Genomic DNA, 23,118 nt, shown 5'->3' on the forward strand with positions numbered 1-23,118 from the left:
TGGTAGATAAACCCACAGTGCAAAAACCCTGACAATTCAAAAAGCCAGAGAGCCTTCTTTCCTCCAAATGACCATCAGCTCTCCAGCAAAGGTTCTGAACCAGGCTGAGATGGCTGAAATGACAGAAATAGAATTCAGAATATGAATACTAATGAAGATTACTGAGCTCCAGAAGTGCATTGAAACCCAGTGCAAGAAGCTAAAAATCATGATAAAACGATGCAGGAGCTGACAGACAAAATAGTCAGTATAGAAAAGAACCTCACAAACCTGATAGAGCTGAAAAACACACTACATGAATTTCATAATGCAATCACAAGTATTAATAGCAGAATAGACTAAGCAGAGGAAAGAAACTCAGAGCTTGAAGATGGGCTTTCTGAAATTAGATAGTCAAACAAGAATAGAGAAAAAAGAATGAAAAAGAATGAATAAAACTTCTGAGAAATATGGGATAATGTAAAGAGACCCAATTTATGACTCATTGGTATCCCTGAAAGAGATGGGGAGAATGGAACCAATGTGGAAAACATATTTCAGGATACCATCCATCTCTTTCAGGGGACTACAGAGAACTCCAGTAAGATACTTCACAAGAATATTATCCCCGAGACACACATAATCATTGGATTCTCCAAGGTCAAAATGAAAGAAAAAATGTTAAAGCCAGCTAGAGAGAAAAGTCAGGCCACCTACAAAGGAAAGCCCATCAGACTAACTGCAGACCTCTCAAAAGAAACCCTACAAGCCAGAAGAGATTGGGGGCCAATATTCAATGTTCTTAAAGATAAGAAATTCCAACCCAGAATTTCATATCTGGCCAAATTAACCTTCATAAACAAAGGAGAAATAAGATCCTTTTCAGACAAGCAAATTCTGAGAGAATTCATTACCACCAGATCTGCCTTACAAGAGCTCCTGGAGGAAGCACTAAATATGGAAAGGAAAGACCCTTACCAGCCACTACAAAAACACTGAAGTATACGGACCAGTGACACTATAAAGCAACCACGTAAGCAAGTCTGCAAAATAACCAGCTAACATAATGATGACAGGATCAAATCCACACATATCAATATTAACCTTGAATGCAACTGGGCTAAATGCCTTAATTAGAAGACACAGTAGCAAGCTGGAAAAAGAAGCAAGACCCATTGATATGCTGTCTTCAAGAGACCTATCTCACATGCAACAATACACAGGCTCAAAATAAAGGAATGATGAAAAATCTACCAAGCAAATGGAAAATAGAAAAAGCAGGAGTTGCAATCATAGTTTCAGACAAAACAGACTTCAAACCAGCAAAGATTTTAAAAAGACAAAGAAAGGCATTACATAATAGTAAAGAGTTCAATTTAAGAAGAAGATCTAACTATTCTAAATATCTATGCACCCAACACAGGAGCACCCAGATTCATAAAGCAAGTTCTTAGAGACCTTCAAAGAGACTTAGACTCCTACACAATAGTAGTGGGAGAGTTTTACACCCCACTGACAATATTAGACAGATCAATGGGACAGAAAATTAACAAAGATATTCAGGACCTGAACTCAGCACTGAATCAAATGGGCCTGATAGACATCTGCAGAACTCTTCACCCAAAAAGAACAGAATATACATTCTTCTCATTGCCACATGGCACATACTCTAAAATCGATTACATAATCAGAAGTAAAACACTCTGGCTGGGCACAGTTGCTCATGCCTGTAATCCTAGCACTTTGGGAGGCCAAAGCAGACAGTTTGAGACCAGCCTGGCCAACAGGGTGAAACCCTGTCTCTATTAAAAATACAAAAATTAGCCAGGCATGGTGGCATGTGCCTGTAATCCCAGCTACTCAGGAGGCTGAGGCAGGAGAATTACTTGAACCTGGGAGGCAGAGGTTGCAGTGAGCTGACATGGCACCACTGCACTCCACTCTGGATGACAGAGCAAGACTCTGTCAAAAAAAAAAGTAGAACACTCCTCAGCAAATGCAAAAGAACAGAAATCATAACAATCTATCTCTCAGACCAAAACACAATCAAATTAGAAACGAAGACTAAGAAATTCACTCAAAACCATATAATTACATGGAAATTAAATATACTGCTCCTGAATGTCTTTTGGGTAAACAATGAAATTAAGGCAGAAATCAAGAAGTTCTTTGAAACTAATGAGAACAAAGGTGCAAAATACCAGAATTTCTGGGACATAGCTAAGGCAGTATTAAAAGAGAAACATATAGCACTAAATGCCCACATCAACAAGTTAGAAAGATCTCAAGTTAACAACCTAACATCAAACTAAAAGAACTGGAGAACCAAGAGCAAACAAATCCCAAAGCTAGCAGAAGACAAGAAAGAACCAAAATCAGAGCTGAACTGAAGGAGAATGAGACACACACAAAAAAAAAACATTCAAAAGATCAATGAATCCAGGAGCTGGTTTTCTGAAAAAATAAAATAAAATAAAATAAAATAGACCACTAGCTAGACTAACATAGAGGAAAAGAGACTGTTCAAATAAACACAATCAGAAATGACAAGGGGGATATTACCAGTGACCCATAGAAATACAAATAACCATCAGAGAATATTATGGACACCTCTGTGCACATAAACTAGAAAATCTAAAAGAAATGGATAAATTCCTGGACACATACTTCCTAACACTGAACCAGGAAGAAATTTAATCACTGAACAGACCAATAATAAGTTGTGAAATTCAGTCAGTGGTAAATAGCCTATCAACCAGAAAAAGCCCAGGACCAGATGGACTCATAGCTGAACTCTACCAGATGTGCAAAGAAGAGCTAGTACCATTCCTGCTGAAACTATTCAAAAAAATTAAGGAGGAGGGACTCCTCCCTGACTCATTCTATGAGGCCAGCATCATCCTGATACCAAAACCTGGCAGAGACACAAAACAAAAAGAAAACTTCAGGCCTATATCTTTGAAGAACATTGATGCAACAATCCTCAACAAAATACTGGCAAACCAAATCCAGCAGCACATGAGAAAGCTTATTCACCATGATCAAGTAGGCTTTATTCCTGGGATGCAAGGTTGGTTCAACATACACAAATCAATAAATGTGATTCATCATATAAACAGAACTAAAGACAAAAACCACATGATTGGACTGGGCACAGTGGCTCATGCCTGTAATCTCAACACTTTGGGAGGCCAAGGCGGGCAGATCACCTGAGGTTGGGAGTTCAAGACCAGCCTGACCAACATGGAGAAACCCCATCTCTACTAAAAATACAAAATTAGCCGGGCGTGGTGGCACATGCCTGTAGTCCCAGCTACTCGGGAGGCTGAGGCAGGAGAATCACTTGAACCCGGAAGGCGGAGGTTGCAGTGAGCCGAGATCACACCATTGCACTCCAGCCTGGGCAACAAGAGTGAAACTCTGTCAAAAACAAAACAAAACAGAACATGATTATTTCAATAGATGCCGAAAAGCCTTTCAATAAAATTTAACACAACTTCATGTTAAGAATTCTTAATAAACTAGGTATTGAAGGAACATACTTCAAAATAATAAGAGCCATCTATGACAAACCCATACCCAACATCATACTGAATGGGCAGAAGCTGGAAGCATTGCCCTTGAAAACAGGCACAAGACGAGAATGCCCTCTCTCACCACTCCTATTCAACATAGTACAGGAAGTCCTGGCTAGGGCAATCAGGCAAGAAAAAGAAATAAAGAGCATCCAAATAGGAAGAGAGGAAGTCAAACTATCCCTGTGTGCAGATGACATGCTCCACTATCTAGAAAACCCCATTGTCTCAGCCCAAAAGCTCCTTAAGCTGATAAACAACTTTGGCAAAGTCTCAGGATACAAACTCAATGTGCAAAAATTACTAACGTTCCTATACACCAACAACAGTCAAGTTGAGAACCAAATCATGAATGCAATCCCATTCACAATTGCCACAAAAAATATAAAATACCTAGGAATGCAGCTAATCAGGGAGTTGAAATAACTCTATAAGAAGAACTACAAAACACTGCTCAAAGAAATCAGAGATGACACAAGCAAATGGAAAAACCTTCCATGCTCATGGATAGGAAGAATCAATATTGTTTAAATGGCCATACTGCCCAAAACAATTTATAGATTCAATGCTATTCCTATTAAACTATTATTGACATTCTTCATAGAACTAGAAAAAAAATCATTTTATTTTATTATTTCTATTTTGATCTTGATTTTTTTTTTTTTTGAGATGGAGTCTTGCTCTGTCACCCAGGCTGGAGTGCAGTGGTGTGATCTCAGCTCACTGAAACAAAAAAGAGCCTGAGTAGCCAAGGAAATCCTAAGCAAAAAGAACAAAGCTGGCGGCATCACACTGCTGCACTTCAAACTGTGCTATAGAGTTACAGTAGCCAAAACAGCTACTGTTTTGTACTGGTACAAAAACAGACGCATAGATCAACGGAACAGAATACAGAACCCAGAAATAAGGCCACACACCTACAATGATCTGATCTTTGGCAAACCTGACAAAAACAAGCAATGGGGGAAGAATTCCCTATTCAGTAAATGGTGTTGGGATAACTGGCTAACCATATGCAGAAGACTGAAACTGGACCCCTTCCTTATATCATGTACAAAAATTAACTCAAGACGGATTAAAGACTTAAATGTAAATAAAACCCAAATGTATAAAAACCCTGGAAGACCACCTAGGCAATACCATTCTGGACATAGAAATGGGCAAAGATTTCATGATGAAGACACCAATAGCAATTGCAACAAAAGCAAAAATTGACAAATGGGATCTAATTTAACTAAAGAGCTTCTGCACAGCAAAAGAAATTATCAACAGAGTAAACAAAAAACCTACAAATGGGAGAAAATTTTTGCAAACCATGCATCTGACAAAGGTCTAATATCCAGCATCTGTCAGGAACTTCAACAAATTTACAAGAAAAAAACAAGCAGCCCCATTAAAAAGTGAGGAAAGGACATGAACAGACACTTTTCAAAAGAAGACATGCATGTGGCCATGAATCATATGAAAAAAAAGTTCAATATCACTGATCATGAGAGAAATGCAAATCAAAACCACAATGAGATACCATCTCACCAGTCAGAATGGCTGTTACTAAAAAATCAAAGCTAGACATGGTGGCTCATACCTGTAATCCCAGCACTTTGGGAGGCTGAGGCAGGTGGATCACTTGAGATCAGGAGTTAGAGACCAGTCTGGCCAACATGACAAAACCCCATCTCCACTAAAAAATACAAAAATTAGCTGGGTGTGGTGGTGCACACCTGTAATTCCAGCTACTTGGGAGGCTGAGGCAGGACAATCACTTGAACCCAAGAGGCAGTGGTTGCAGTGAGCTGAGATCATGCCACTGCACTCCAGCCTGGGTGACAGAGACTCTGTCTCAAAAAAAAATAAAAAATAAAAAATAACATGCTGGTGAGGCTGCAGAGAAAAAGGAACTCTTACACACTGTTATGGGAGTGTAAATTAGTTGAATCATTGTGGAAGACAGTGTGGCAATTCCTCAAAGGCTTAAAAACAGAAATACCATTTGACCCCACAATCCCATTACTGGATATTACCCAAAGGAATATAAATTGTTAGATTATAAAGACACATGCATGTGTATGTTCACTGCAGCATTATTCACAATGGCAAAGACATGGAATCGACCTAAATGCCCATCAGTGGTAGACTGGATAAAGAAGATATGGTACATATACATTATGGAATACTATGCAGCCATAAAAAAGAATGAGATCATACCCATTGCAGGAACGTGGATGGAACTCAAGGCCATTATCTTTAGCAAACTAACACAGGAACAGAAAACCAAATACTGCATGTTCTCATTTATATGGGAGAGCCAAATGTTGAAAACACATGGACACATAGAGGGGAACAACACACACTGGGGCCTATAAGAAGGTGGAGGGTGAGAGAAGGGAGAGAATCAGGACAAAATAACTAATGGGTACTAGGCTTAATACCTGGGTGATGAAATAATCTGTACAACAAACTCCCAAGACACAGGTTTACCTGTGTAACAAACCTGCACATGTACTCCTGAACCTACAAGTTAAAAATATATATATATTTAAATTAAAAAGAAATCTTATTTATGTTTGTACATTACTTATTTTTATTTTTAAAATTGTGATAAAATACACATAACAAAATTTACTATTTTAACCATTTTGAAGTGTACAATTCAATAGCATTAAATGTATTCACGTTGTGCAACCATCACCACCATTCATCTTCAGAATTTGTTTGTTTGTTTTGAGACAGAGTCTTGCTCTGTTGCCCAGGCTGGAGTGCAGTGGCACAATCTCGGCTCACTGCAAGCTCTGCCTCCCGGGTTCACGCCATTCTCCTGCCTCAGCCTCCTGAGTAGCTGGGACTACAGGCGCCCGTCACCATGCCCAGCTAATTTTTTGTATTGTTAGCAGAGACGGGCTTTCACCGTGTTAACTAGGATGGTCTCAATCTCCTGACTTCATGATCCACCTGCCTTCACCTCCCAAAGTGCTGGTATTACAGGCGTGAGCCACCGTGCTGGCCCAGAATTTTTTTTTTAAGACAGAGTCTTGCTCTATCGCCCAGGCTGTAGTGCAGTGGTGCAATCTCAGCTCACTGCAACCTCCGCCTCCCAGGTTCAAACAAGTCTCCTGCCCCAGCCTCCCAACCAGCTGGGATTACAGGTGTGCGCCCCTATGCCCAGCTAATTTTTGTATTTTTAGCAGAGGTGGGGTTTCACCATGTTGACCAGGCTGATCTTGAACTCCTGACCTCAAGTGGTCCGCCTGTTTCAACCTCCCAAAATGCTGGGATTACAGGCATGATCCACTGTGCCCAGGCCATGATGTCTTTTCTTTTACATATGGATGATTTGATTTGCTAATATTTTACTTACATTTTTTACATGTCTGTAAATGAATGAAATCAGCCTCAAATTTCCTTTCTTTTTTTTTTCTTTTTCTTTTTTTCCCAGAGACAGAGTCTCACTCTTGCCAACCAGGTTACAGTGGAATGGTGTGATTATAGCTCACTATAACCTCAAACTCCTGGGCTCAAGCAATACTCCCACCTCAGCCTCCCGAATAGCTGGGATTACAGGTGCTCGCCACCACACCCGGCTAATTTTTGTATTTTTAGTAGAGACGGGCTTTCACCATGTTGGCCAAGCTGGTCTCAAACTCCTGACCTCAGATGACCCTCCCACCTTGGCCTCCCCAAAGCACTGGAATTACAGACATGAGTTACTGCACCTGTCCAAATTTTCTTTCCTATACTGTGCTGTCAGACCTTTGTATCAAGGTTATGCTAGGTTCATAAAATGAAAATGATTGGGGAGGGTTTCTTCTTTTTCTGTACTCTGAATAGTTTGTAAAAGAGTAAAACTATTTGTTTTTTGAATGTCTGTTAGGCTCAAATAGTCTTGGATTTAAACTGCCTTTGTAGGAAAATATTTAACTATTAAATCTATTACTTCACAGTGTTGTGTGACAAGGATAATTATTTATATGAAATACAATATAAATGGTGCCCCCTAGAGTTGCTATTGTCTTAGATTTTCATTCTTTCATTTTTTAAAACTTGTACGAACCATTATCATCGTTTTTGTATTTTTCTCAGTAACACTTCAGTAACACACAAACTCAAAATCTTAGTGCTTTATAACAACAAAGGTTTATTTCTCACATTACATATCATCTGTGGGTCAGCATTGGCTCTACTTGGCATGTTCTTTTCATTCTGGTATCCAAGCTGAAGGGAAAGTCTCTATAGAACATCCTATCCTTGTGACAGAAGAGAGATGTGGAACCACAGTGTTGGCCCTTAAAGCTTCTATCTAGAAGTGGTCACTTCTGCTCATATTTTATTGGCCAAAGCAAATTTCTTAGTCAAGCTTGATGTCAGTGATACAAAAAAAGTATAATTAGCTCACTGAGAATGGCAAATAATTAGGAACAGTAATGCGCTCTACTACATACAGGTACCATACAGTCAGTGTTTACTTAGATTTACCAACAAATTGATCACTTTCGTTGTCTCACGCCTCAAACACCAAACTGTTATTCTGGTATGACTTTTCTGTTTGTGCAAATTACATCCTTCAGAATTTATTTTAATGGGTATCTTTTGGTTCTAAACTCACTTAGGTTTTGGTCATCTGAAAATGACATTTTTTATTCTCTTTCTTTCAATGGATTCTAGGTTGACACTTCTTTTCTTTTAGTAGAGGGAAAATATGCCTTCTGGTTTTCATAGTTGCCACTGAAATAATACTAGCAGTCTAATCATAGTTCGTTTTTGTTCAGTTTTTCTAATGTGTATCTTAGGTTTAGATTGCTTTATGTTTAATGTTGGTTGTGATTTGTTTGGCTCTATGAATCTGTGGATTTTTGCCTTTTTCATTTGTGTAGAATTGGTATCGTTTATTCCCCACATGGTTGGTATAATTCAGTAGTCATCTAGAGTGTCCTTTGTGGAAAAGTTTTTAGCTATGAATGCAAATTCTTTGGTAGACATAGGGCTATTCATGTTACCTATTTCTCCTAGAATGAGTTTCAGTTATTTGTGCCTTTCAAGGGATTTTCCACTTCATCTAAGTTGTCTAATTTATTGGCATAAAGTTGTTCATGATATTCCCTTATTACTTATTTAATGTATCTGATATCTATAGTGATATTCTCTTGCTCACTTCTGATATTTATTTGTTTTCTCTTCCTTTTTCACCCTAATTGTTCTGGCTAGAGTTTTATCAATTTTATTAATATTTTCAAAGAACTGTATACTTGTTTTATTGACTTTCTTTGTTGTTTTCTATTTTATTGATTTCTGCTCTAGTTGCATTATTTCTGAGCTCAGACTTTTGATAGGTTAGCTCCACCCAATTCAAAGGAATCAGTGATCAGACTCACCCAAAGTAAATTATTGTATCTCAGTAAGGAGAAGTGAAGAGAACAAAAATATTTCAAGGAAATAAATTTTCCTCTAGGAAACTAGAGAAACGAGAACTCTACTGAAGTTTTGCTATGTTGAACAGGTGTGTACAGTGATATTAAGAAGAGATAAGGCCAGGGATGGTGGCTTATGTCTATAACCCTCGTACTTTGGGAGGCCAAGACAGCAGGATCACTTGAGCCCAAGAGTTAAAGACTAGCCTTGGCAACACAGACAGACCCTGTCTCTACACCTCCAAAAAAAAATTAGCTGAGTGTGGAGGCACATGCCTCTGGTTCCAGCCACTTGGGAGGCTGAGGTGGGAGGATCAGCTTAAGCCCAGGAGGTTGAGGCTGCCATGAGCCCGTGATTGCACCACTGCATTCCAGCCTGGATGAGAGGGTGAAACCCCATCTTAAAAAAAAGAAAAAAATCAAGTACTTATAATTAGCCCTGAGGTACTCCAAACTTTAGAGGTTTAGCACTAGTCAGTGTGGTAGAAAGAGAACCAAGAGGTGTCCCAAAAGCCTAGTGAAGAAGGTGTTTAAGAGGTGGGAGTTATGAACTGTGTCAAATGTGTGTATGGGTGTGTATTTTTATTGTTTCTGAACCACTTAAAAGTAGAATGCATATTCTTTTCCTTCACTCCTTAATACTTCAGTGTACATACTAAGAATGAAGATACTCTCTCATATTATTATAGCTTAGTTTTCAAATTAGGGAAATTTAATATTGATTCAAATACTCTCATATATATATAATTTTTTTTCTGTTGAGATGGAGTATCGCTCTGTTGCCCAGGCTGGAGTGCAGTGGCACCATCTTGGTTCACTGCAACCTCCGCAACCATGCCCAGCTAATTTTTGTATTTTTAGTAGAGACAGGGTTTCACCATGTTGGCCAGTCTGGTCTCAAACTCCAGACCTCAAGTGATCTGCCTGTCTCAGCCTCCCAAAGTGCAAGTGCTGGGATTACAGGTGTGAGCCACAGCACCCAGCCCAAATACTCGCTTATATTTTTAGAGCTTAGTTTTCAAATTGGGGAAATTTAATATTGATTCAATGTTTTCATATAATCTAAAATCCATATTCCATTTTTGTCTATTATCCCAATCATGTCCTTTACAGAATTGTTTCCCTTTAGTACAGGATCCAGCCTAGAATCACATTTGCATTTAGTTGTCATGTCTCTTCAGTCTTCCTTATTTAGGGACAATTCCTCAGCTTTTCTTCATCTTTCATGACATTGGCATTTTTGAAAGTCCACGACAGTTATTTTATACATAATAGGTGGCTCCTCAATTTGGCTTTTCCTCATGATCACATTTAATTTATCACATCTGAAGGCATACAGTGTTTATCTGTGGATTTTTGCCTTTTTCAATTGCATATAGAATTGGTGTAAATTATTCACCAAATGGTTGGTATAATTCACTAGTGAAGTCATCTAGAGTTTCCAATGTGGAGAAGTTTTTAGCTATGAATTCAATTTCTCTGGTAGACATAGGGCTATTCATGTTACTATCTCTCCTTGAATGAGTTTTGGTAATTTGTGCCTTTCAAGGGATTTTCCACATCAACTAAGTTGTCTAATTTATTAGTATAAAGTTGTTCATGATATTCCTTTATTATTTATTTAATGTATCTGGTATCTGTAGTGATATTCTCTTGTTCACTCCTGCTATTATTTTTTGGTTTTGTTTTTTGATTTTTATTTATAGGCAGAGTCACTCTGTGGCCCAGGCTAGAGTGGCATGGTGCAATCTTGGCTCACTGCAACCTCCACCTCCCAGATTCTCATGCCTCAGCCTCCCAAGTAGCTGGGATTACAGGCATGCACCATCATGCCTGGCTAATTTTTGTATTTTTAGTAGAGATGTGGCTTCACCATGTTGGCCAGGCTGTTCTCAAACTCCTGGCCTCAGGGGATCCACCTGCCTCAGCCTCCCAAAGTACTAGGATTACAGATGTGAGCCACCGTGCCCAGCCTCACTCCTGAGTATTATTAATTAGAGATTTTAGATTGATCGCACAATCAAGATGTTTGTTTTTTGTTTTTGCCACACTGTATTATTTCTATTTTTTACCCTTGCGATTAATAAACGACCTGTGTGAAGACACTTTGAAACCATACGAATATCCTTCTTTTTATCAGACTTTACTCTCTAGCTATACAAATTACTTGCGCCTGAGTAAATCTTAACTAAACTGTAGCAAAATGGTGATTTTCCAACTCTGCCATTCCCATCCACAATTGTCATTTAGCTTTCTATGAATGTAAGGAAGCAGCTGTCCCTTCTCTGTTATTTTATTACCACTACGGATTCGTGGATTTCTATTTCATTCAGCAGATTATAATCCATTACTACCATTATTTAGATGCCCAAATTTTCCCAAATTTAGTTAGTAGGTACTGCTTCAAGATTGTTCTTCTGTCTTTTTGATATGTTCCCATCATTTTTTGAATTATTCCATAATTACTGATATGTAGCATCATTTTTAACAGTTGAAAGAATATGCATTGTATTAATATCTATGTATCATAATGCATTTAACTATTTCCTTACTCGGGATTTTATAAAAATTAATTGATTAATTAATTATTTTGAGACAAGGTCTTGCTTTGTCACCCAGTCTGGAATGCAGTGGCTTGATGCGGCTCACTGCACGCATGACTTTCTGGGCTCAGGATATCCTTGCGCCTCAACCCCCAGAGTAGCTGGCTCTACAGGCATGCGCCATCATGCCCAGCTAATTTTTGTATTTTTTGTAGAGATGGGGTTTTATTATGTTGCCCAGGCTGGTCTCTAACTCCTGGGCGTGAGCCACTGCACCCAGCCATAAGCTTGGAGTTTCAAATTGCGGGTTTTAAAAAACAATGTTGGGTGAATATCCTGGTAGCTGAATGTTTATACAAAACCGAAATTATTTACTTGGCATAATAAATTTCTAGAAGTGGGTTTATTAAGTTTCACTAGAAAAAATTCTACCTGTGTACATGTAGCAGTATATAAGAATGCCCATTCGGCATTCCCTTATTTTGGGTAGAATTTTAATCAGTCTAGGGCCTTAATCTTTGGTTCCCAGACCAGCAATATCAACATTACCTAGGCGAGCCTATTAGAAATGCAGACTCTTATACCCCATTCCAGACCTTCCGAGTCAGAATCTGCATTTTAACAAGCTCCCAGGGTAATCTGTCAGCACATCAAAGTCTGAGAAGCAATATTCTAAAGTAATTTATACAGGAGTCACAGAATGAATTGGTCTTAAATCTAGCCAAGGTAAGGCCAGGAAGCCCATACTGGCATTTGTTAATAAAAGGTGAAAGTGACAAAGAATTAAAGTTGGCTTTGTAAAAAGTGCTGGTTGGGTGCCTGTAATCCCAGCACTTTGGGAGGCTACGGTGGGAGGATCACTTGAGCCCAGGAGTTTGAGACCAGCCTTGGGAACAAAGTGAGACCCCATCTGTACAAAACATTTAAAAAATTAACCAGGCATGGTGGCATGCACCTGTTGTTCCAGCTACTCAGGAGGCTGAGGCAGGAGGATCACTTGGGCCCCAGAAGTTGAGGCTGCAGTGAGCTGTGATCATGCCACTGCACCCCATCCTGGGTGACAGAATGAGACCCTGTCTCAGAAAAAAAGGGAGTTATTCTAACAAAATGAATAAAAGTATCCTAAATAAGCTTTTTTGGGAGACAGGCAAATGCAGATCAGCACAGAGCACTGACACATTTTCTCCCAGAACATAAGACGTGATACTATTATCTCTCCAGCTTCATCATCACTCACTCCATCCCAAACGCTCTATGCTTTTGCCTATTGTTTATCTAGTGATCTAAGAAAAACCTGAATTTGAATCACTTGCAGAATGTGTTACAGTGTATACTCCCAAGCCCACTTCTAGAGAATCTGTTTCAGTAGGGTCTGATATTATAACCAAGAATCAGAATTTTAACATGCACATCCGGTAATTCTAATCCCCTAAAGTTTGAGAACTACTACAACACTATACTTCCCAGAACATATCTGGAATGTATTGTTTAAGCAATGCTTTATTTGCTATAAAAAAATATTCCCAAGCCAGGTATGGTGGCGCACACCTGCAGTCCAGCTACTCAGGAGGCTGAGACAGGAAGATCGCTTGAGCCCAGGAGTTCAAGGCTGCAGTGAGCTATGATCATGCCACTGCACTCCAGACTGGGTGACAGAGCAAGACCCTGTCTCTAAAATAATAATAATAATAATAATAATAATCCCATTTTTATAAAGACCTTCAACCAGAATTCACTTTTTTGTTATTTTTGCTGTTAGTTCATTAAACAAGTCTAGGAATTCTAATTATTTTTTAGCATTCTCTAGTTCTGACCAAGTTGCTGAGGATGGAGAGAATGAATCCTATTTGAACTGTTATTCCTTATTCTGGAGACTGCCTTTTTGGACCAATCCAAATTCATTTCAGATGATACTTCAACTTTTTCTTTTCTGTCAATATATTTTGGTGAAAGAAATTCATACTGTGGAAAGAAACATTTTCCATTAAAAAATTATAATGTTAAACTGTATTACTCTCATATAAAATATATGAAAGAAGTTATATAAAAATTATTCTGATTTTAAAACACAAATAACTTTTTTTAATGTAGGAGGAGCAAAGAAAAAAGGAAGCAGCACATATAAAAGGTATTTTTTCTCAATAATTTATTAGAAGAAATCTTAATGAACTTTAGCAATTCACATCTTGAGAAATCAAGAGGCTATCCTAAATGTCATCTAAATATCTTAATGGTATGAAACTGTAAGGGAAACATTAATTTATTAGTATGTAAAAGGGCATAAATTTTTTAGAAAAAACAAAACTTGCAATATCGTATCTTAAACTAAAATGTGAAGTTTTAATTTTTATCTCTTATTTGTACTCAAAGGTATCATAGTCAATGTCATATAGTAATGCTTGAGGATAAAAAGATGTTGCATATTACATCTTAGTACCTCAAAACATTACCTCTTACATAATTTTAGAGATGCTGAATATAAAATATAACAAGATATTTTGCAGAGCTTTAAAAATGTAGAAAATACAAAAGTTAATATGTTTAGACCAGGCGTGGTGTCTCATGCCTATAATCCCAGCACTTTGGGAGGTCGCGGTGGGCAGATCACTTGAGGCCAGGAGTTCAAGACCAGCCTGGCCAATATGGTGAAACCCTGTCTCTACTAAAAATATAAAAATTAGCTGGATGTGGTGGCGCAGGCCTGTAATCCCAGCTACTTGGGAGGCTGGGGCAAGAGAATCTCTTGAACCCAGGAGGCGGAGGTTGCAGTGAGTCGAGACTGCACCAATACACTCCAGCCTGGGTGACAGAGCAAGACTGTCTCAAAAAAAAAAAAAAAAGTTAGTATGTTTGCAAGAATGGCCTTATACATAAATTTTTTAAAAAGAAAAGTTAATATGTAAAATGTTATAAAAGGTATTATAGAATATTGTATAGATATTATATTTTCTAAAACAGCATATTTTAATGGCAAATGTGCAGCCTAAATACTATAATGGGAAAAGCATGAGACAAACTAATGAAAATCTAGGTGGCTAAAATCTATTTTGTATCTGATCTGTAATGGGTCATTTATCTAAGTCTGTTTATTATTTTCGTGAAGTGGTGCTAATAGTAACTACCTTGAAGAATTATTAAGAGTATAAATAATATATAGAAGTATATCAAAATGCTTTGTAAATTGAAAGTCTCTACAGGAAGATTTGTTACTATTATTGGTATAAAGCCAATTCATACACCCTTCCCAATGCAGACCAAGTATTTTCTAATACATGCTTAAGGAGGCATGTACTTTTCTTTTTTGATGTTTAGTTGTCCTTATTTTAAAGTGAAACAAATTAGTTATAAAATCCTTTGCTCCAAGTAGAAACTATGTATATTACAAATGTTTTTTGCTTGGTTTTGAGTTTTAAAGATTACTGTAGTAGTTATTTCTAATATCATAAATAATTATTTCTCAGAAAGTTGAATTTGTAATGCAATATTTACACAAATTGAATAAGTGAAAAATGATAGTTTATTAATTATACCAGTATTGTTAAAATTTATTTTTAAAATAAGGCAATCAGTCTTTTCTGATTTTAAGGAACATTTTGAAACATTTCTAGCCTAATTAGTCTTTTTCTGTTTAAGCAGGTTGATTTCATTTAGAATAGTCTTTTCTATTCTTGATTATCATGAAAATATTGCTAATTCCTAATTACATATAACACTGTGTGGATGATAGCAACTCAGAATTTCTTTATAGCATTATCCTGCCCATTCTGACATTGTCCTTATAATTAAGAGTTGGCTTGTGAATATATAATATTCATAGTAAATCTGTTTTTACAGCAATTAAAGATCATTCTAAAGATGAACCCCAACTTGCAACAAAAAATATCATTTGTGATCCCTCAGAGACCAGCTCCACAACAAATCGCAGCAGTGTTACATTAAGCTTATCAACATTACCATCTGATTCTTATTACAGCCAAAGTATAGAAGCAGCTGATGACTGGTTTTCTGATGATTCTCTAGTGAAAAGGAACTCTCCAATGCCTTCTCTCGGGGAACCTCTAATGGAAAAAGTATTTTCATACCTGTCAACCATTTCATTAGAAGAGGGTACTGAAAGTGTACTGAATGACACTTTATGACCATCAAAAAGATGACTACATTAAGGGAAAATGTTCATGAAGAAACACAGAGGTTGAAATATAAAACCTTCAACATAATACTGAATGACTTTTTTCTTTTGAAACCTTGTATACAATCAGCTTCTGAGTCTCTTAACATGTCCATGCTAATATTGCTTTTTTTGTTCTTTACCATAGAGCGGCTCTACTTCCCTTGCTGGTTCTTATTTCTAGAAACAAAATTAGGAAGAACTAGAGTGATGTCATGAACATTAAGCTTAACTTATTGTATCTCATCCAAAGACATATTAAATAAAATGAGTGTATGTCAACAAACGGGAGAAAAACATTTAAAAATCTTCAGCACAAAAATAATACATATATTTTCTTTGAGACTGAGTCTCGCTCTATTGCCCAGGCTAGAGTGCAGTGGTGTGATCTCAGTTCACTGCAACCTTCACCTCCAGGGTTCAAGCGATTCTTCTGCTTCAGCCTCCTGAGTAGCTGGGATTACAGGCGCCTACCACCATGCCAGCTAATTTTTGTATTTTTAGTAGAGATGAGGTTTCACCATGTTGGCCAGGCTAGTCTCGAACTCCTGACCTCAAGTGATTCACCCGCCTTGGCCTCCCAAAGTGCTGGGATTACAGGCATGAGCCACTGCGCCTGGCCAGAAAAAAATATATATTTTTGAATAAAATATCCACAGCATTTCCTTATACTTTTGATGTTTTCAATTTTATTTCAGTGTGGGTAGGGCTGGGAGGAATATCAGTTTTTCTGAATTTAAAACACATAAATTACTTACAATTCAAATATTACCATGTTATGCTTTTAGTAAGCAGTATAATTTTGCTCCTGCAAGATAGCTTGAAATGCTGAATCCAGAAAAGAGGCCAGGCACAGTGGCTCATGCCTGTAGTCCCAGCAGTTTAGGAGGCTGAGGTGGGCAGATTGCTTGAGCCCAGGAGTTTGAGACCAGACTGGACAACATAGTGAGACCCAGTCTCTACAGAAAATGCAAAAATTAGCCTGGTGTGGTGGCACATGCCTGTAGTCCCAGCTACTTGGGAGGCTGAGGTGGGAGGATCATTTGAGCCCTGAAGGTTGAGGCTGCAATGAGTTGAGAATATGCCACTGCGCTCCAGCAGCCTGGGCAACAAAGTGAGACCCTGTCTCAAAAAAAAGAATTTAGAAAATAATTTTCATTTTCCTTTCCTATCTCTATTTCTCAGAATGTTCCTCACCCTCACTCTACTGTGATAAAAATGCTTGCAGGCACCTGACTCACACTGGATGATTTAGAGTTTCTCTCCAGTCTATGAGACCCTTGGTCAAATTTCTATTTACAGTTCTGAGGGATGTCTGACACTCGCTATGTAATCTTTTCTTTTTTCTTTTTTTTCCTAAACATTCTCCATGAAATTAATCCCCTTGGGAAAAAACGACTCATTAACAAGTATATTAGCTTTTGTGCTTAAATTACCCATACTAAGACCTATTCATACCTTCCTGAGAGATAAATCATACCTCCTACAATAAATGCAATGAACTTTCCCTCAAATAACATAATAGCATTACCCAGGCCTATCATTCCTATCCCAAGAGCAAATGTAAAAGGAGTTAGAACCACTCTCTCTTTTGAAGCACCTGGTCATTTTTACACAGCGTGCTATGGGTTCTAGCACATCTATTGCTATCCTCACCTAAATCTAAGTAAGCTCAAGCTCTTTAAGGAGCAGTAAAAACAAAAATTTTAATTGGCCTCTGTCTCTTGGCACCCTGAAACCTGTTTTACTCTCGATCCCAGAGAAGGAAATTATTTCTAATTTTGGTGATGTCCTAAAACTTCCCTAGGAATTTGGGATTGGAGATAAGAGATTCTGGCTTTCATCTGACTCTTCTCTGGAATAGAGGAAATACAAACTGGGGAACTATGGGTTGCCATTCCTACCATGTGGCTTAGGAAGGAAAAAAAAACCAAAAACACCAAATCTGCAGTGAGGGAGCAATGAAACATTTGCAAAATGAAAACTGGAGATGAGAGATTAGAAGAATGTGATTTCTGGCTTTCTAACAATGCTCTCTTCCCTTGTCCCAGCCTTCATGAAGTATGGCTATAAAGCCTACTCTTGGCTTGGTAAGGTATTCTTGTATCCTAATTATAAAATCCCCTTTTTGCTTAAACTAGCAAGATTTGATTTGTATTAATGGCCACAGTCCCGAAGGCCTAGCTTCAACTGTTGTTCTTGGCTTTGTTAAGGAACCCTTGTAATTTTATAAGAAATCCCCCTTTTGGTATAAACTAGAAAGACCTTTGTTTCTATTCCTACAATCAAAGCATCATGCCTGACCAAATTCTTGTTTATATTACAAATTATAAATAGATTTATGCATATAAAGTAATTGTTATCCCATAATAATATAATAAATTGAATGTCTTTCTTTTTTTTTTTTTTGAGACAGAGTCTCACTCTGTCACCCGGGCTAGAGTGCAATGGTGTGATCTCAGCTCATTGCAACCTCCGCTTCCCAGGTTCAAGCGATATCTCCTGCCTCCGCCTCCTGAGTAGCTGGGACTACAGACATGTGCCAACACGTCCAGCTAATTTTTGTATTTTTAGTAGAGACGGGGTTTCACCATGTTGGCCAGGCTGGTCTTGAACTCCTGACCTCAAGTGATCCACCCACCTAGGCCTCCCAAAGTGCTGGGATTACAGGCGTGAGCCACCACGCCTGGCCATAAATGGAATGTATTTCCTAAAAACTTAACACATTTACTTGTTTATTAAAATCTTACTCCATATCATAGGTATATACACTGTTCTATTTGAAAAGTCCTGTGAACAATACTTACGAAATTATGCCAGTCTAGAGTAATCTCATTTTCAAGAACTATAAAGGATCTGAGATTTCACTCTTTATGCAAGCTGACAAGGTATCCTGCAATAGTTTCATGTCTTTTGCGTTAGAAACAAGAGGCAGTTTATTGTTCATAGCAATAACAGTAGTCAGAGTTATCATCATTTTTGACATCCTTTTGCATTATTTCCTGGGCCTGCTGTTCCTGCAGGCTGATGTGAAAGAGGGTCAAGATAATGCCTGCACCAAGAGTGGGTTGCATTACAGGAAGGAGTTTAGGGAACCAAATATTTTCAAATGGACGGTAATGCATACCTGCCCTTTGTACCAGAGGGAGCCACTGTCTCTGTCTTCCAGGGTTGTTCACTATATGAACATCCTTGAAAAGATAGTTTGGAACATAGGCAATCTGTTTCTGCTCACAGACATGCAGAAATGTAAGAGACCCACAGTTGACATTGACATAGGGTATTAATTACAGATCTTTTGATTACATATACCTGAAAAGCAACTCAAGTTAGCTTGAGGAGAAAAATTTTGTTTCTTAAACAGAATCCAAATAATGTTTGAACAACTAAATGTAGGAAGTACAAGGTTGTAACCTGGTCTCAGGAACAGGTGTAACAGGTTCAAATTCCATCAGGACTTTCCCTATTTCTACCAGTCAAGGTTCAGTGAGGGAAGAACTACTTTTCGGATTGGGGTAAGAGATTTATTATTGGAATTATTATATCTTACGCAATTGTAAGAGGAACAAAGGAAGTGAAGTTTAAGGAGAGAAATTGGAGAATCAGAGAAGGAGTCACCAGCAAGATAATCTGAAACTCTGAACAAGAGATCTTTTGAAAAAAAAGTAAATAAATAAGAATAAAAAGTAAAACTTTTTTTTAAAGTGAATAACTAGAGAAACCAGTGTCCAACTGCCACAGTAAGACTGTAGAGGGAAGGCTTGTGGGAATGTTTACTGGAAGCTGTGCCTCAGCAGCGACTGCCTTTGGGTGTACAACCTAGTTCCGTGATTCCTAGCCTGGAAATATGGGATAACATTTAAAAATTTATTTTATTTTTATTTATTTATTTTATTTTTATTTTTTGAGACAGAGTCTTGCTCTGTCACCCAGGCTGGAGTGCAGTGGCAATGGTCTTGGCTCACTGCAACCTCCGCCACCTGGGTTCAAGCAATTCTCTGCCTCAGCCTTCCACATAGCTGGGATTACAGGCGCCCACCACCACACCTGGATAATTTTTTTGTATTTTTAGTAGAGACGGGGTTTCACCATCTTGGCCAGGCTGGTTTCAAACTCCTGACCTCATGATCCAAACACCTCAGCCTCCCAAAGTGCTAGGATTACAGGTGTGAGCCACCGTGCTCAGCCTATTTTATTTTTATTTTATTTTATTGAGACAGTCTCACTATTCTGCTCAGGTTACAACTGAACTGGGTCAAGCAATCTGCCTCAGCCTCCCAAGTAGCTGGGACTACAGGAGCACGTCACTGCACCCAGCTCGCAACTGCCTTTGACACTGTGCTGCCAAGCATCTTGTAGCAGACCCAGGGCCATTGTTTGCCAACAGGATCAGCAGTTGGAAGAACTGGACACTGAAAAGAACTGGACATAGGGCGGAGGAGTAAGGACAAACCAGAATCCACTGGCCTCTCTATAGTCTGTTTCCACATGTACGCAGATTACCTTCACAGAATAATGGCCTCTGCTTAGATTCTGCTTTCCAAATATTGCACAAATGCCTCTTTAGGCCAGCTTTAGCCAAGAACTATACATAGAAAAAGATTCTGAGAAACATAATTCCAGCTTAACTAAGTTAATACAGTACAAACCACAGTCTACCCATTATCAATTTAGCATTCGTTTACACTTTTTTTTTTTTTTTTTGAAACAGAGTCTCACTCTCTTCCCCAGGCTAGAGTGCAGTGGCACGATCTCGGCTCACTGCAACCTCCACCTCCCAGGTTCAAGTGTGTCTCCTGCCTTAGACTCCCAAGTAGCTGGGGTTACAAGCACAGGCCACCACGCCCAGCTAATTTTTATAGTTTTAGTAGAGATAGGGTTTCACTATGTTGGCCAGGCTGGTCTTGAACTCTTGACTTCAGGTGATCCACTGGCCTTGGCCTCCCAAATTGCTGGGATTACAAATGTAAGCTATTGTACCCAGCCTTATTTACACTTTAACCATACTTGAAACCTCCAAATAAAAACAATAGCAGAGTGATGTTGACAAGACATCCCTCTACAGCAATAGTAATTTAACAGGCATCCACAGACAAAAGTTCCTTTGTTAAGCTTTGGGATCCAGGTAGGAGTTTGTGAAAACCTGGTGCAGCCCAAGACCAAAGAGGGCCTTTTCTTTTTTTTCTTTGAGACAGGGTCTCACCCTGCCACCCAGGCTGGAGTGCAGTGACATGATCACAGCTCACTGTAGCCTTAAACTCCTGGGTTCAAGCAATCCTCCCATCTCAGCCTCTTAAGTAGCTAGGCCTACAGGTGTGTTCCACCATGCCCAGCTAATTTTTTTTATTTTTTTCTAGAGACAGGGTCTTCCTATGTTTCCAGGCTGGTCTTGAATTCCTGGGCTCGAGCAAGCCTCCCAAAGTGCTGAGATTACAGGTATGAGCCACTGCACCTGGCCTAAAGAGGGCCTTTTGAGAGGGCAGAACTGCCCTTGCTGGCCCATCTGCAAATGACCCATTTTCCCTATTGACTCAGCTCTGAGTCCTGTTTGGCCCTAGTCCTGCTACTAGAACCATTAGCCCAGGGACCTGTGAGGAGTCACACCCATTTATGCTTCAAGGTGACAGACCTGCTGACCTCAGTCCCCACAGTGTACTCAGAAATGGCTCTGAAACTTGACTGCAGCCCCTCTCAGCAGTGGTCAGAAATCAGAAGTCCTGCTGGTGGCATAGGGTCCCAGAAGGAGACATACCCACCTAAGTCCCCAGGGCCATTTTGCCAACCTTAGTTCCACAGCAGACTCTGAAATAGTTGTGACACTTGGCTCCAGCGCCTCCCAATAATGGTCAGAGATTAGTACTGCTTATGACACAGGCACCCAGAGAGAGATGTGCCTGTCTGAGTCTGTGGAAAAGGCTTGCTGACCTCTGTCTGGCTGTGGACACTGAAATAACCCTGTGACTTCATTGTGTTCTCTCTCAGCCATGGACCAGGATAGTACTGCCTGCCAAGAGACCCAGTAAGTGACCCAATAGGAAGCGTCCCAGGACACAGAGGAAGCCATACATGGCTGCATACCTAGTATCAGGCCCACTGTCTGCAGACCTTCAAGTGGATCTTCATCCAAGCACCAGCCCTGGAACAAGGTCCTAGAAACATTCTAATCTCCTTAGGGACCAGAAAGGATCCATACCCACTAGAGCTCCTGGTAACAGGCCTGCCATCTGCAGACCCCACTGCAGACACGGAAGCAACCATGTGACCCAGCTCCAACCATGGTCCCAGAGGCAATCTTATTAACTTGAGAGCCTAATAGAAGTTCTTAACCTACTGATAGCAATCTATAAAGACTAGAAGTGGTGCTTGTGCCTTCAAATGCAGACACGAAAGCCAATCTACATGGATAATGAAGAATCAGGCACACATCCTACCACCAAAGGAAACTAATAAAGCTCCAGCAACTGAATCTAAATAAATGAAGATCTACAAATTGCCTGAAAGAGAATTGAAAATAATTATCTTAAGTAAGCATAATGAGATGCAAGAAAATACAGATATACAACTAAATAAAATTAGGAAAACACTGCATGAACAAAATGAGACTTTAATAAAGAAATAGTAACCACGAAAAAGGAACCTAACAGAAATCCAGAAGCTGAAGGATACAGTCAAGAAAAGTGTAATAGAGAGCTTCAACAGCAGACTCAATCATGCAGAATAAGCAATTAGAAAACTCAAAGACAGGTCATTCAATATTAACCAATTAGAGGAACAACAACAACAAAAGGAATGAAGAAAGCATAGGGAACCTAGGGGACGCCCTCAAGTGTATGAATGCACAAATTATGAGAATCCAAGGAGAAAGAGCCCTGTCTGAAACTCCCCAAGTCTTGGGAAGGAGATGAACATCTAGATTCATGAAGCTCAAGGAATCCCAAGAAAGATAAACCCAAAGAAGAATACGCTGAGGAATAGTACAGTCAAATTGTCAAAAATTACAGAGAATTTTGAAACTAGAGAAAGAAAATAAACTTATACAAGGTAAACTCCATAAGGCTAACAGACTTCTCAACATAGACTTGCAAGCCAGGAGGGAGTGGATTGATACATTCAAGGTGTTGAAAGAAACAACTTTCAGCCATGAATACTATAACCAGCAAAGCTATCCTTCAGAAATAAAGGAAAGATAAAACTTTCCTAGACAAACAAAAGCTGAGGGAATTTATCACCACTAGACCAGCCTTTGAAGAATTGCTAAATGGAGTTCTTTGGGTTAAAATAAAGGATGCTTATTAACAAAATGAAAATATATGGGCCGGGCACTCATGCCTGTAATCCCAGCACTTTGGGAGGCCAAGGTGGGTGGATCACCTGAGGTCAGGAGTACGAGACCAGTCTGGACAACATGGTGAAACCCCACCTGTACTAAAAATACAAAAATTAGCTGGGCT

General features: G+C 39.0%; 1 protein-coding gene across 5 annotated transcripts in view; it reads left to right on the forward strand.

Annotated features, from left to right (window-relative positions):
• Nucleotides 1–20,149, forward strand: part of C1orf185 (chromosome 1 open reading frame 185) — a 50,055-nt gene extending 29,906 nt beyond the window's left edge. For 2 of the 5 annotated variants that reach the window (XM_011541282.3, NM_001136508.2), the window contains exons 4-5: nucleotides 13,591–13,627; nucleotides 15,334–15,953. In XM_011541282.3, coding sequence (XP_011539584.1) covers nucleotides 13,591–13,627; nucleotides 15,334–15,638 — 342 coding nt within the window. In that variant the 3' untranslated portion in view covers nucleotides 15,639–15,953. Of the gene's footprint in view, nucleotides 1–13,590; nucleotides 13,628–15,333; nucleotides 15,954–19,905 lie in introns of those variants that run through there. The other 3 variants (XM_024446525.2, XM_024446528.2, NM_001410790.1) reach the window with 3 other exon arrangements.
• The last annotated feature ends 2,969 nt before the right edge of the window (nucleotides 20,150–23,118 follow it).

The sequence above is a fragment of the Homo sapiens genome, chromosome 1, assembly GCF_000001405.40.
Source record: "Homo sapiens chromosome 1, GRCh38.p14 Primary Assembly".
In the NCBI taxonomy this organism is placed as follows: domain Eukaryota; kingdom Metazoa; phylum Chordata; class Mammalia; order Primates; family Hominidae; genus Homo; species Homo sapiens.